We start from the raw sequence: 13642 nt of genomic DNA, 5'->3' as shown, positions 1-13642 counted from the left end.
CTCTTGTGAGACTACTGTCTTTTGTTCCTAAGCCGCACTAAGGTCTGATTGTCATTTTCCAAAAGGATCTCTTTTGCACATTGCAAGAACATAATACGTAATGCTTATAAAGTTTCTATAAAAAATTTTTCTTTGAAAAATTGGGCCAGCTTGTTGTTTAACACTCCCACCAATGGCCTCTAAAAGAAGCATCTGCTCACTGAGCTACCCCAAAGGAAATAATTATTTGTAACTAAATCTCAACACTGTCAATCACTGCTGCTCAGTCGAGGTAATAAAGAGGTCAGATCACTCCCCCGACCTTATTCAAGCAAATCTATGATTATGCAGACACAAAAAACGGTGTTTAGGTGTGTGCGCATTTGGGGGATGAGGAAGAAGATCCAGATCTGCTCAGACATCAGAAAAGAAATCTCATACCAGTACAGGAAATATCTAGAAGCTGATTAATATCGTTCTAGGTGAAGAACTTACCTAACCCTCTAAATGTCTGCAAATTGCCTCCTTTTGGCTTTTTAAGAGAACCAAAATTAGACTTAGCCCAAAAGCAAATAGTAACCCCTTATAATGACAAGCATCTAAAACATGTTCGTCCTTCAATTCATTCCCAATTCTCTTTATTATCAATTCCATGACCCCAGGTACCTTCTGCTTTTATCATGCCCTATGGCCACCCAACCCTCCTCCTTTTCTGCAACAGCCACTCTATTCTCACCTAGGTCAGTATTCCATCATTATACTCACTGTGCCCAATGAACCTTTTGTTTATCTGTAACCATAATTACCACTCATTACAACAAAAATTTCATCATGATTGCTCATGTGGATGTTAGAAAATCTTCTAGAACAAAGCTTCTCAAATGTTAGGGTGTATAAGAGTCACCCACAGAGCTTCTTAAAATGCAGATTCCTGAGCACTGCTCCCAGACATTCTGATTCGCTAGGTCCGGGGTATGTCCTAAGAACATGCATTTCCCACACTCTCACAGGCAAGACTGGATGCTGATGTTGCTGGTCCACAGACCACAATTTGAGTAGCTGTGTTCCAGAACATACGGGTCATGACGACCCCCAGAGTCAAGGCAGAAGCGTCTTCTGAGGTACCTCACAGCAGCTGCCTATCTAAGCTGGAGTCTAGAAAAGACAGTGAACAATACTAGGACTGAATGTCCCCCTCCTGGTACCTAGATGACAAGTCTCTTCAGAGAATCTACATTACACACGGGGAGAAGTAGGGGGCACAAGGGGAGAACCCTGACTGGGACTGAATCCTTAACACAAAGAACATGCCCCAAACTAAAAATTGACTGAGTTAACTTGAATTGACAAATTTAAGTTTTTCTACATTATTCAAAACAAATATCGTGAAGTACTCTGAATTCAGCTATTGAAAAATGCACATCTTTAGCTGATCTGAGTGTAGTATCATTCTTCAATAATAATACAAACTATTCAATTCATTACATTAATTTAGTTGTTTTTATAGTTTATCAAATGTGCCTGATTGTGGACAGTAACAGCAACATTCATTTTTAAATTAGCACCAGGATAACTGTTGTATTTCCTTTCATTACAACATTAAACTCTCCACATAAGTTCCCTGTTTGTAGTTTGTTACTCAGATGACACAGCTGTCTGCATGTGACTTGCGAGGCAGAAAAAGTATGGCTTTTTTAATGAATTTAGCACAAATGTTGGTTATTTTATACATATTAAATTTCTATTTTATAGAAATTCTACTTTCAGAATTTTCTCATCCATATATTATTTTGAGAGAAAGAAGTTTATTAAAATTAATTCACTGAATAACTCAGAAACAGAAAGTCAAATACTACATATTCTCATTCATAAGTAGGAACTAAATAATGTGTACACATGGACATTGAGCATGCAATAATAGACAGTGGAGACTTCTCAGGAGGGTGGGAGGAGGTGAGGGATGAGAAACTACCTAACAGGTACAATGTACACTATTTGGGTGATAGTTACATTAAAAGCTCATACTTTGCAAAGTAACCATGTAACAGAACTGCATTTTTACCCTCTAAATCTACAAAAATCAAAATTAAAAAAATAATTTCAAAAAATAAAATAAATTCACTAGACAGCAGTTACTAAAGGCATTCTAGTCAAGAATATAGAACAGGACACAGTCCAGGGTTTGAAATGATGCAAAAACAAGCTGGATGTAGTTTTGAAACAATGAAAACTATAAGTATATATTCTAGGTCAACAAGTACATATGCATTCTAGCAACACTAGATAATTTGCTTTCTTCTCTATACTCTCCACATCCTCAGCCTTTTGCCTCTCTATGAAGCTCACCCTAAAAATCCCCAAATCTGGATCAATTCAATCACCAGGGTTCTTACTCTCATATATGAAATGGCAATAACTATTGAAAAAAAGAATCATCCAACAGTGAAGACTGGTAGTATATAGTCTTGAATCTCAAATGGGGCAACCACCTCCTGAGTAATCCTTATTCATGTTTCTAGTTAATTCCCTCTTCTACTCTCCACACCTGCTCTTCCAAACTTTCTTCCTTCACATGTTCATTCATCATTAATGCAAATACTTCATGATAATGTATCATGTGCTAAACGATAAAGTGTGCAAAGCACTGGGAACACCACAGTAAACACATTAGTGCAGATTCTTAAGGAGGTCAAAGTCCTAAGACACGTAAATTGATAGAGGAGAGGAGAGGGGTAGCATAGGGAAGAGAAAAATAAAGCATCTTACCCTTCTTCCTCAAATGTGTCAGTGTCCATTCACCTCCACCCTAAAAGATGGCCTACAGTCCACCCTCCCTGAAAAAAACTAAAGTTATAAGGCAGGAACTCTTTCAACTTCCAACCCCCTACACCTCCAACCCCTACACCCACAAAGGTATCTACTTTCTATTTCATAGAGTCAGAAACACCATCAATTGTAAGAAAGAAAAAATTGTTGCCAATAAAATTATGATTCAGTTCTATAACGCTATTAATTGATGGTAAGATACGATTTGATTTTTGAGACTTAAAATGTTAAAAATGTTCATCTTAGAATTAACGAAATATAGTATGTTGAACCCACCTGTGCCTTCTTAGTTACGTTAGGCTTAAAAAGGTATTCAAATGGAATTGAGGTGAGTTTTATACATGAGTATTCACCTTGAGAGGTCAAGTCTGAATTCAGCAGGTATTTCATATGCACCTTCACCTTACTTCCCCTAGGATACTGTTGTAGAGCATTCTGACACCGTGTACTTTCTTAAGTGGGGATGAGTAAGGCGAGAGGCAGTGCAGCAGAGTGGTAAAGTGTATAGACTCTGTCCCTGACCAGTAAGTTGCCTAATCTTTCCCAGACTCCACTGCCTTGTGTCTAAAACCTCAGAGTTAATGTGTATATTAAATGAGATAATAAATATAAAACATTTAGGACAGGATCTGGAAAAAATTATTGATGGAGATGACTTCCATTTTCTTCTGTAATACCTGTGTAGTCACAGAACTGGGGTCTTTTTCTTTCCCTTATCTGTAATTTTGATTTTGTATATATTGTATCTATTTGTACTAGGCATTAGAGACTTGTAGAAATCTAAGTATTACTCTTGGTGCCAAGGTATCGGGGTACCCAGATTCATTTGTAGATGTGCTGGTAGAGTGAATGGATGTTGGACACTTCAAGTTTTGAAGAAGGCACAGGAAGATGAGACTTCCGAAGACAAATGTGTCCAAATTGGAATCCATGACCAATAGCATGTAAGCTCTAAGAGTGCAAGGGCTTTGTTACCACTGTACTCATCTACAAGAGTATAGTTCATAGTGGCTGCTCAGAAAACATTTGTTTTAGAAATGAATGAATCTGCAAATGTGTTCTTCCTGTCTTTCTTAAGAATCTATTGGTTATTATATTTACAGATTTAATGGTAACAGGGACACTGATTAGGAAAATAACAAAATGTAGAGAAGAGCTTAACCTTTTCAAGCTAGTACTTACTCCTTTATTAGGGGCAGCAATGCTACTTTATATTGTCAGTTTCCATGTCACCAGATACTATCTTGAGCTTAATAAAGTTTCCCAAGAGTCTGCAAGTGATACTATTCTTTCTTCGACGTTATCCCAATACCTAAGGTGTACTGCTACTAAAAAGGTCAGGTGACACCTTGTTTCATAGGTTATTTCCTTTGTTTTGTTCTTGATATTTTTTAAAAAGGCCCTTTTCCTGCATCTTTACTCTTGCCCTCTGTATTGGCTTCTTCCTTGTGGCCCATAAATACGCTCAAGTATCTCTCAGGTGAAAACAAAAACAAAAAGTGAAACATAAAATATATGTTCTCTGGACCTGATACCCCTTCTTAATTACACAACCTCCTTCCATCTAAAGTCAAGTTCCTTGAAATAAGTGTCTACTCTTCTGGTGTCCACATATTTACCTCTCTTTCATTTGTACAGGCCTAGATCAGGTTTCTGTACTTATCACTACCCAGCAACTTCTCCTGCAAAGCTTCTCAATAAGTGACCTCCTAAGTCTCAAATCCGGTAAACACAGTTCAGTCCCTATTTTACTTGACCAAACACATTAGAAGTGAAAGGCTACTATTAAATGTATTTTTCTAGTTCAGAGGTTGGCAAACTACACCCTGTGGGCCTAATCTACCAGCCACCTGTTTTTGTAAATAAAGTTTTATTGGAATGCAGCCATACTCATACTGCCTATGGCTGCTTTCACACTACAATGGCAGAGTTTTGAGACGGAGACTGTATGGTCCTCAGAGCCTAAAATTCTTTTTTTTTTTTTTTTGAGATTGGCTGTTTTTTTAAATGGTGTTTTCAATGAGAAATACATCACCTGTTTATAAAATAACTCTTGAAAAATCCAAGGAGTACAGATACTGTAAAACTAAAGCAAACTCCAGTTATGAGACACTACATACATCATGCAAAAACAACGGCCTCATCTCCAGGTTATGAAAACTAAAACTAAAAAGTCACTAAATAGAAAAGGTCCAAGTTTTCGGCTTGGCAAAACTTGGGTGGTGCAGTTACACAAAACGTTTAATAAATGGAATTGTTTTCCCCTATGTGTAAACAAAATGACAAGCCTAAATCTGTGCCTGGTAATTTCAATCTAACTCTGAAGTTACACAAAATATGCAGACACCTTATACACTTCACCTGTTGGCATGACCATATGACCATCGTTTTTTCTTAGGTGGTGGGGGAGGGGCAAGGTGACCGTGCAGAGCAAAGATATGGGGAGTAGAAATATTGTGTACTAAAAATTATAAAGTCAGGGTGAAAAAAAAGCCTCAATTAACACATAGCCTAAGGGGGAAAAGACTACACTCCAACTTCGCAAAGTTAATTTAGAAGGATAGGGGAGGAGTTTAACTGCAGTTTAACATGAAAAATGCATATATAATAGAATGGAGCGCAATGAAGGATTCATGAAATATACAACCTAAAATTCTTACAGAAAAAGTTTGCCAATTCCTGTTCTAGTACATTTAATACATCTGATCATTTCCTTCTACTTTATAAAACAATTCATTTTTTAAAAGAATTTATTTTAGACATAACGCAAAGCAACTTTATTATCTCATCTTTCATTAGCATCTAAAACAACATGAGACATGCATTATTAACCACATTTTAAGATAAATAAATTGAGGTTTGGAGAAGTGAAGTTACATGGTTAGTTAAAGGCTGAACCGGGATTCCTGCTTGGATCAGAAAGATTCTAAAACCTGTGGCTTTTTACCACTATTCTGGAAATCTTGTCCTCTCTTGGTTTCTGTGACACCTTGGTCCTCTGGTTCCCTGCTCATTGCTTTGACCAGTCATCTGTCTTCTTTTTCAGGCTTATCCACCTTTGTCCACTTCTTCAGTACTGGTTCCAGAAAGTTCTGTACTCCACTCTCTTCTCTCTTCCCATGCTACACATTGTGCTTGAGCAATGGCATCCATTCCCACAGCATCCAGCTTCATAAACATACTAGTGGGATGCCCAGAACGCGAACGGCTTTCCAGGGAGAAATGCTTCTCTCAGCCTTTAGCAGTTCCTTTCATGGGTGGCATGTGGATGGCTGCTCATGCTGGCAGTGGCTTCAATCTCTTAGCAAGTCCTGCCCAGGAAGGTCTAGCATCTGGCTGCAGGATGGAAAGGTGCTTGGCACTTATTGCTTTTTTCTTGGCCGTTAGGGTTCTAGTTAATAGAATCCTAAAAGGCCAAAAGCATCACTCTTTACCATCTTGCTAGATTTTCTTTTAAAAAATCTGTTTTACTTGTGAGACTTTGCTTTGTTCCCTGCTAGATCTCCAGAGTTCAGACAGTGCCTGCCACAGAGTAGACACTCACACTGAATGAATAAGGGGACCTCAAATGTTAATGTGACTTTTCTTTTTTTAAAGGAAATTCATAGGAGAGGACTAAATGGCAAATGAATGATGAAAAGTTTGATCGTACTGGTTTTCAGGGAAATACAAATTGAAAAATAATTAGTTACGATTTCATCTTCATCAGGTTGGCTAAAATGAAAAAGTCTGACAATATAAAAATTTGTATGGGAAGATAAGAATTCTCATATACTGCTCATAGGATGGTAACTTGGTACACTTTAAGGAATAATTTAGTAACATATAATAATAATATAGTTAATCTATAACTCAGGACTTCAAATGTATACTTTCAAGAAATTCTTCCACATATGCCTAAGGAATTATGAAGGAAAGTGTTCAATAAAGCATTGTTTATAAGAACAAAACATGAGGATTCCCAGGCAAGATGGTCGAATAGAAACAGCTCCAGTCTGCAGCATCCAGCAAGACCAACGCAGAAGGGTGATTTCTGCATTTCCAACTGAGGTACCTGGTGCATCTCATTGGGACAGGTTAGACAGTGGGTGCAGCCTATGGAGGGTGAGGTGAAGCCGGGTGGGATTTCGCCTCACCCAGGAAGTGCAAGGGGTCGGAGAACTCCCTCCCCTAGCCAAGAGGAGCTGTGAGGGACTTGCCATGAGGGACAGAGATATCTGGCCCAGATACTACACTTTTCCCACGGTCTTCACAACCCACAGACCAGGAGATTTCCTCGGGTGCCTACACCACAAGGGCCCAGGGTTTCAAGCACAAAAGTGGGCAGCTGTTTGGGCAGATACCGAGCTAGCTGCAGGAATTTTTTTTTTTTTTTTTGGTACCCCAGTGGCACCTGGAACACCAGCGAGACAGAACCACTCACTCCCCTGGAAAGGGGGCTGAAGCCAGGGAGCAAAGTGGCCTAGCTCAGCGGATCCCACCCCTACAGAGCCCAGCAAACTAAGATCCACTGGCTGGAAATTCTCGCTGACAGCACAGCAGTCTGAAGTCAACCTGGGATGCTCCAGCATGGTGGGGAAGGGGCATCCACCATTACTGAGGCGTGAGTAGGCAGTTTTCCCCACACGGTGTAAACAAAGCCACCAGGAAGTTCAGACTGAGTGGAGCCCACCGCAGCACTGCAAAGCAGCTATAGCCAGACTGCCTCTCTAGATTCCTCCTCTCTGGGCAGGGCATCCCTGAAAGACAGGCGGTAGTCTCAGTCTGGTGCTTACACATAAAACTCCAGTTTCCCTGGGACAGAGCAACTGGGGGAAGGCGCGGCTGTGGGCGCAGCTTCAGCAGACTTAAATATTCCTGCCTGCCAGCTCTGAAGAGAGCAGCAGATCTCCCACCACAGTGCTCAAACTCTGCTAAGGGACAGACTGCCTCCTCAAGTGGGTCCCTGACCCCTGTGCCTCCTGACAGGGAGACACCTCCCAGCAGGGGTCAACAGACATCTCGCACAGGAGAGCTCCAGTCGACATCTGGCGGGTGCCCTCTGGGATGAAGCTTCCAGAGGAAGGAGCAGCCAGCAATCTTTGCTGTTCTGCAGCCTTCACTGGTGATACCCAGGCAAACAGGGTCTACAGTGGACTCCCAGCAAACTCCAGCAGACCTGCAGAAGAGGGGCCTGACTGTTAGAAGGAAAACTAACAAAGAGAAAGCAACAGCATCAACATCAAGAAAAAGGAAGACCACGCAAAAACTCCATCAGAACGTCACCAACAACAAAGACCAAAGGTAAATAAATACACGAAGATGAGGAAAAACCAGTGCCAATAGGCTGAAAATTCCAAAAACCAGAATGACTCTTCTCATCCAAAGGATCGCAACTCCTCACCAGCAAGGGAACAAAACTGGACAGAGAATGAGTTTGATGAATTGACAGAAGTAGGCTTCAGAAGGTGGGTAATAACAAACTCCTTCGAGCTAAAGGAGCAAGCTTTAACCCAATGCAAGGAAACTAAGAACCTTGATAAAAGGTTAGAGAAATTGCTAATGAGAATAACAAGTTTAGAGAAGAACATAAATGACCATGACCTGATGGAGCTGAAAAACACAGCACAAGAACTTTGTGAAGCATACACAAGTATCAATAGCCAAATTGATCAAGTGGAAGAAAGGATATGAGAGATTGAAGATCAACTTAACGAAATAAAGCGTGAAGACAAGATTAGAGAAAAAAAGAATGAAAAGGAATGAACAAAGACTCCAGGAAACATGGGACTATCTGAAAAGACCAAACCTGTGTTTGTTTGGTGCACCTGAAAGTGACAGCGAGAATCGAACCAAGGTGGAAAACACACTTCAGGATACTATCCAGGAGAACTTCCCCAACATAGCAAGACAGGCCAACATTCAAATTCGGGAAATACAGAGAACACCACAAAGCTACTCCTCGAGAAGGGAAACCCCAAAACACATAATTGTCAGATTCACCATGGTGGAAGTGAAGGAAAAAATATTAAGGACAGCCAGAGAGAAAGGTCGAGTTACCCACAAAGGGAAGCCCAGCAGACTAACAGGAAATCTCTCTGCACAAACTCTACAAGCCAGAAGAGAGTGGGGGTAAATATTTAACATTCTTAAAGAAAAGAATTTTCAACCCAGAACTTCATATCGAGCCAAACTAAGCTTCACAAGTGAAGAAGAAATAAAACCCTTTACAGACAAGCAAATGCTGAGGGATTTTGTCACCACCAGGCCTGCCTTACAAGAGCTCCTGAAGGAAGCACTAAATACGGAAAGGAAAAACTGGTACCAGACACGGCAAAAACACACTAAAATGTAAAGACCATCCACACTATGAAGAAACTGCATCAACTAATGGGCAAAATAACCAGCTAGCATCATAAGGACAGGATCAAATTCACACATAACAATATTAACCTTAAATGTAAATGGGCTAAATGCCCCAATCAAAAGACTGGAAATTGGATAAAGAGTCAAGACCCATTGGTGTGCTGTATTTAGGGGACCCATCTCACATGCAAAGACACCCATATGCACAAAATAAAGGGATGGAAGATGATTTACAAAGCAAATGGAAAGCTAAAAAAAGCAGGGTTTGCAATACTAGTCTCTGATAAAACAGACTTTAAACCAACATACATCAAAAAAGACGAAGGGCATTACATAATGGTAAAGGGATCAATGCAACAAGAAGAGCTCACTATCCTAAATATATACTCACCCAATACAAGAGCACCCAGATTCATAAAGCAATTTCTTAGAGACATACAAAGAGACTTAGACTCCCACACAATAAGAGTGGGAGAATTTAACACCCCACTGTCAATATTAGACAAATCAACGAGACAGAAAATTAACAAGGATATTCAGGACTTGAACTCAGCTCTGAACCAAGCGGACCTAATAGACATCTATAGAACTCTCCACCACACATCAACAGAATATACATTTTTCTCAGCACCACACCGCACTTATTCCAAAATCAACCACATAATTGGAAGTAAAAGACTCCTCAGCAAATGTAAAAGAATGGAAATCATAACAGTCTCTCAGGCCACAGTGGAATCAAACTAGAACTCAGGATTAAGAAACTCACTCAAAACTGCACAATTACATGGAAACTGAACAACCTGCTCCTGAATGACTACTGAGTAAATAACAAAATTAAGGCAGAATAAATAAGTTATTTGAAACCGACGAGAACAAAAATGCAACGTACCAGAATCTCTGGGACACAGCTAAAGCAGTGATTAGAGGGAAATTTATAGCACTAAATGCTCACAGGAGAAAGCAGGAAAGATCTAAAATTGACACCCTAACACCACAATTAAAAGAACTAGTGCAGCAAGAGCAAACAAATTCACAACCTAGCAGAAGATGAGAAATAACTAAGATCAGAGCAGAACTGAAGGAGATAGAGATCAAAAAACTCTTCAAAAAATCAGTGAATCCAGGAGCTGGTGTTTTGAAAAGATTACAAAATAGATAGACCGCTAGCCAGATTAATAAAGAAGAAAGGAGAGAAGACTCAAATAGACACTAAATAAAAAAATGATAAAGGGGAGATCACCACTGATTCCACAAAAATACAAACTACCATCAAAGAATACTATAAACACCTCTACACAAATAAACTAGAAAATCTACAAGAAACGGATAAATTCCTGGACACATACACCCTCCCAAGACTAAACCAGGAAGAAGTCAAATCCCCGAATAGACCAATAACAAGTTCTGAAATTGAGGCAGTACTTAATAGCCTACCAACCATAAAAAGCTCAGCTCCACACAGATTCACAGCTGAATTCTACCAGAGGTACAAAGTGGAGCGGTACCATTCCTTCTGAAACTATTCCAAACAACAGAAAAAGAGGGACTCCTCCCTAACTCATTTTATGAGGCCAGCATCATCCTGATACCAAAACCTGGCAGAGACACAACAAAAAAAGAAAATTTCAGGCCAATATCCCTGATGAAGATTGATGCAAAAATCCTCAATAAAATACTGGCAAACCAAATCCAGCAGCACATCAAAAAGCTTATCCACCATGATCAAGTTGCCTTCATCCCTGGGATGCAAGGCTGGTTCAACATACACAAATCAGTAAACATAATCCATCACATAAACAGAACCAACAACAAAAAACACACGATTATCTCAATAGATGCAGAAAAGGCCTTCAATAAAGGCCTTCAAAACACCCCTTCATGCTAAAAACACTCAATAAACTAGGTATTGATGGAACATATCTGAAAATAATAAAAGCTATTTATGACAAAACTACAGCCAATATCATATTGAATGGGCAAAAGGTGTAAGCATTTCCTTTAAAAACCGGCACAAGACAAGGATGCCCTCTCTCACCACTCCTATTCAACATAGCACTGGAAGTTCTGCCCAGAGCAATCAGGAAAGAGAAAGAAATAAAGGGTATTCAAGTATGAAGAGAGGAAGTCAAATTATCTCTGTTTGCAGATGACATGACTGTATATTTAGAAAACCTCATCGTCTCAGCCCCAAATCTCCTTAAGCTGATAAGCAACTTCAGCAAAGTCTCAGGATACAAAATCATTGTGCAAAAATTCCAAGCATTCCTACAAACCAATAATAGAGAGTCAAATCATGAGCAAACTCCCATTCATAATTGCTACAGATAGAATAAAATACCTAGGAATACAACTTAGAAGGGATGTGAAGGACCTCTTCAAGGAGAATTACAAACCACTGCTCAAAGAAACAAGAGAGGACACAAACAAATGGAAAAACATTCCATGCTCATGGATAGGAAGAATCAATATTGTGAAAATGGCCACACTCCTCAAAGTAATTTACAGATTCAATGCTATTCCCATGAAGCTACCATTGACTTTCTTCACAGAATTAGAAAAAAGCTACTTTAAATTTCATATGGAACCAAAAAGGAACCTGTATAGCCAAGACAATCCTAAGCAAAAAGAACCAAGCTGAAGGCATCATGCTACCTGACTTCAAACTATACTACAGTAACCAAAACAGCATGGTACTGGTACCAAAACAGATATATAGACCAATGGAACAGAACAGAGGCTTCAGAAATAACACCACACATCTACAACCATCTGATCTTTGACAAACCTGACAAAAACAGCAATAGGGAAAAGATTCCCTGTTTAATAAATGGTGTTGGGAAAACTGGCTAGCCATATGCAAAAAAAAACTGAAACTGGACCCCTTCCTTACACCTGATACAAAAAATTAACTCAAGATGGATTGGATTAAAGACTTAAGCGTTAAGACCTGAAAACCATAAAAACCCTAGAAGAAAACCTGGGCAATATCATTCAGGACATAGGCATGAGCAAAGACTTCATGACTAAAACACCAAAAGCAATTGCAGCAAAAGCCAAAATTGACAAATGGGATCTAATTAAACTAGAGAGCTCCTGCACAGCAAAAGAAAGTATCATCAGAGTGAACAGGCACCCTACAGAATGGGAGAAAATTTTTGCAATCTATTCGTCTGACAAAGGGCTAATATTAAGTATCTACAAGGAACTTAAACAAATTTACAAGAAAAAAGCAAACAACCCCATCAAAAAGTGGGCAAAGGATATAAACAGACACTTTTCAAAAGAAGACATTTATGTGGCCAACAAATATAAGAAAAAAAGCTCATCATCACTGTTCATTGGAGAAGTGCAAATCAAAACCACAATGAGATATCATCTTATACAAGTTAGAATGGTGATCATTAAAATGTCAGGAAACAACAGATGTTGGAGAGGATGTGGAGAAACAGGAACACTTTACACTGTTGGTGGGAGTGTAAATTAGTTTAACCATTTTGGAAGACAGTGTGGCAAGTCCTCAAGGATCTAGAACTAGAAATACCATTTGACCCAGCAATCCCATTACGGGGTATATACCCAAAGGATCATAAAGCATTCTACTGTAAAGACACACGCACACGTATGTTTATTGCAGCACTATTCACAATAGCAAAGACTTGGAACCAACCGTCCATCAATTATAGACTGGATAAAGAAAATGTGTCACATACACACTATGGAATACCATGCATCCCTAAAAAAGAATGAGATCATGTCCTTTGCAGGGACACGGATGAAGCTGGAAACCACCATTCTCAGCAAACTAACACAGGAACAGAAAACCAAACACTGCATGTTCTCACTATAACTGGGAGTTGAACAATGAGAACACATGGACACAGGGAGGGGAACATCACACACCGGGGACTGTCAGCAGGTGGGGAGTATGGGGAGGGGTAGCATTAGGACAATTACCTAACATAGATGACGGGTTGATAGGTGCAGCAAACCACCACGGCACATGTCTACCTATGTTAACAAACCTGCACGTTCTGCACATGTATCCCAGAACTTAAAGTTAATAAAAGAAAAAAGGAGCAAAAACATGATAACCTAAACATCCATCAATAGGGAAATAAATTAAGGTATATTCATTCAAAGGAATGCAGCATAGCACTTAAAAAGAATGAAATAATTTTATATATATACATATCAATATGGAAAAAACTCAAAAAAATTTATTGCAAAACATGTTACAAAATGTGTGTGCCATATAATGATATGTATGTAAATTTTAAGAAGAAAAGACCATTTATGTCTTGTTTATATAAAAGTGCACATGTAGGAGAAACATTAACACTTTCAAAGGAAGAATGCACACCAACTTCAAGATAACAGTTTCCCTGACAGAAAGGAGTAGAGAGGGTACTTCAATTATATACGTGATGTTTCATTTTTTAAAAGATCAGAAGTAGAAAACAACTTTGTTTTGCAAATTTAGACAACTATAACA

At 39.2% G+C, this 13642-nt stretch overlaps 1 protein-coding gene across 10 annotated transcripts in view, besides 1 other annotated feature; it reads right to left on the bottom strand.

Moving 5' to 3' along the window:
• RMDN2 (regulator of microtubule dynamics 2) overlaps positions 1 to 13642 on the bottom strand; it is a 146238-nt gene that overhangs the window by 118014 nt on the left and 14582 nt on the right. The gene's annotated exons all lie outside the window — the stretch shown is intronic.
• Positions 7076 to 7577: an enhancer, noted in NCBI's record as "H3K27ac hESC enhancer chr2:38168691-38169192 (GRCh37/hg19 assembly coordinates)". NCBI's record gives its function as "activates a minimal SCP1, AML or CMV promoter by ChIP-STARR-seq in primed H9 embryonic stem cells {active_cell/tissue: H9 hESC(primed)}" and the evidence as "EXISTENCE:reporter gene assay evidence [ECO:0000049][PMID:30033119]".

Source organism: Homo sapiens, chromosome 2 (genome assembly GCF_000001405.40).
Source record: "Homo sapiens chromosome 2, GRCh38.p14 Primary Assembly".
Taxonomy (NCBI): domain Eukaryota; kingdom Metazoa; phylum Chordata; class Mammalia; order Primates; family Hominidae; genus Homo; species Homo sapiens.
Note: the sequence above shows the minus strand (reverse complement) of the source record. Positions and strands in the feature narration are given on the sequence as shown.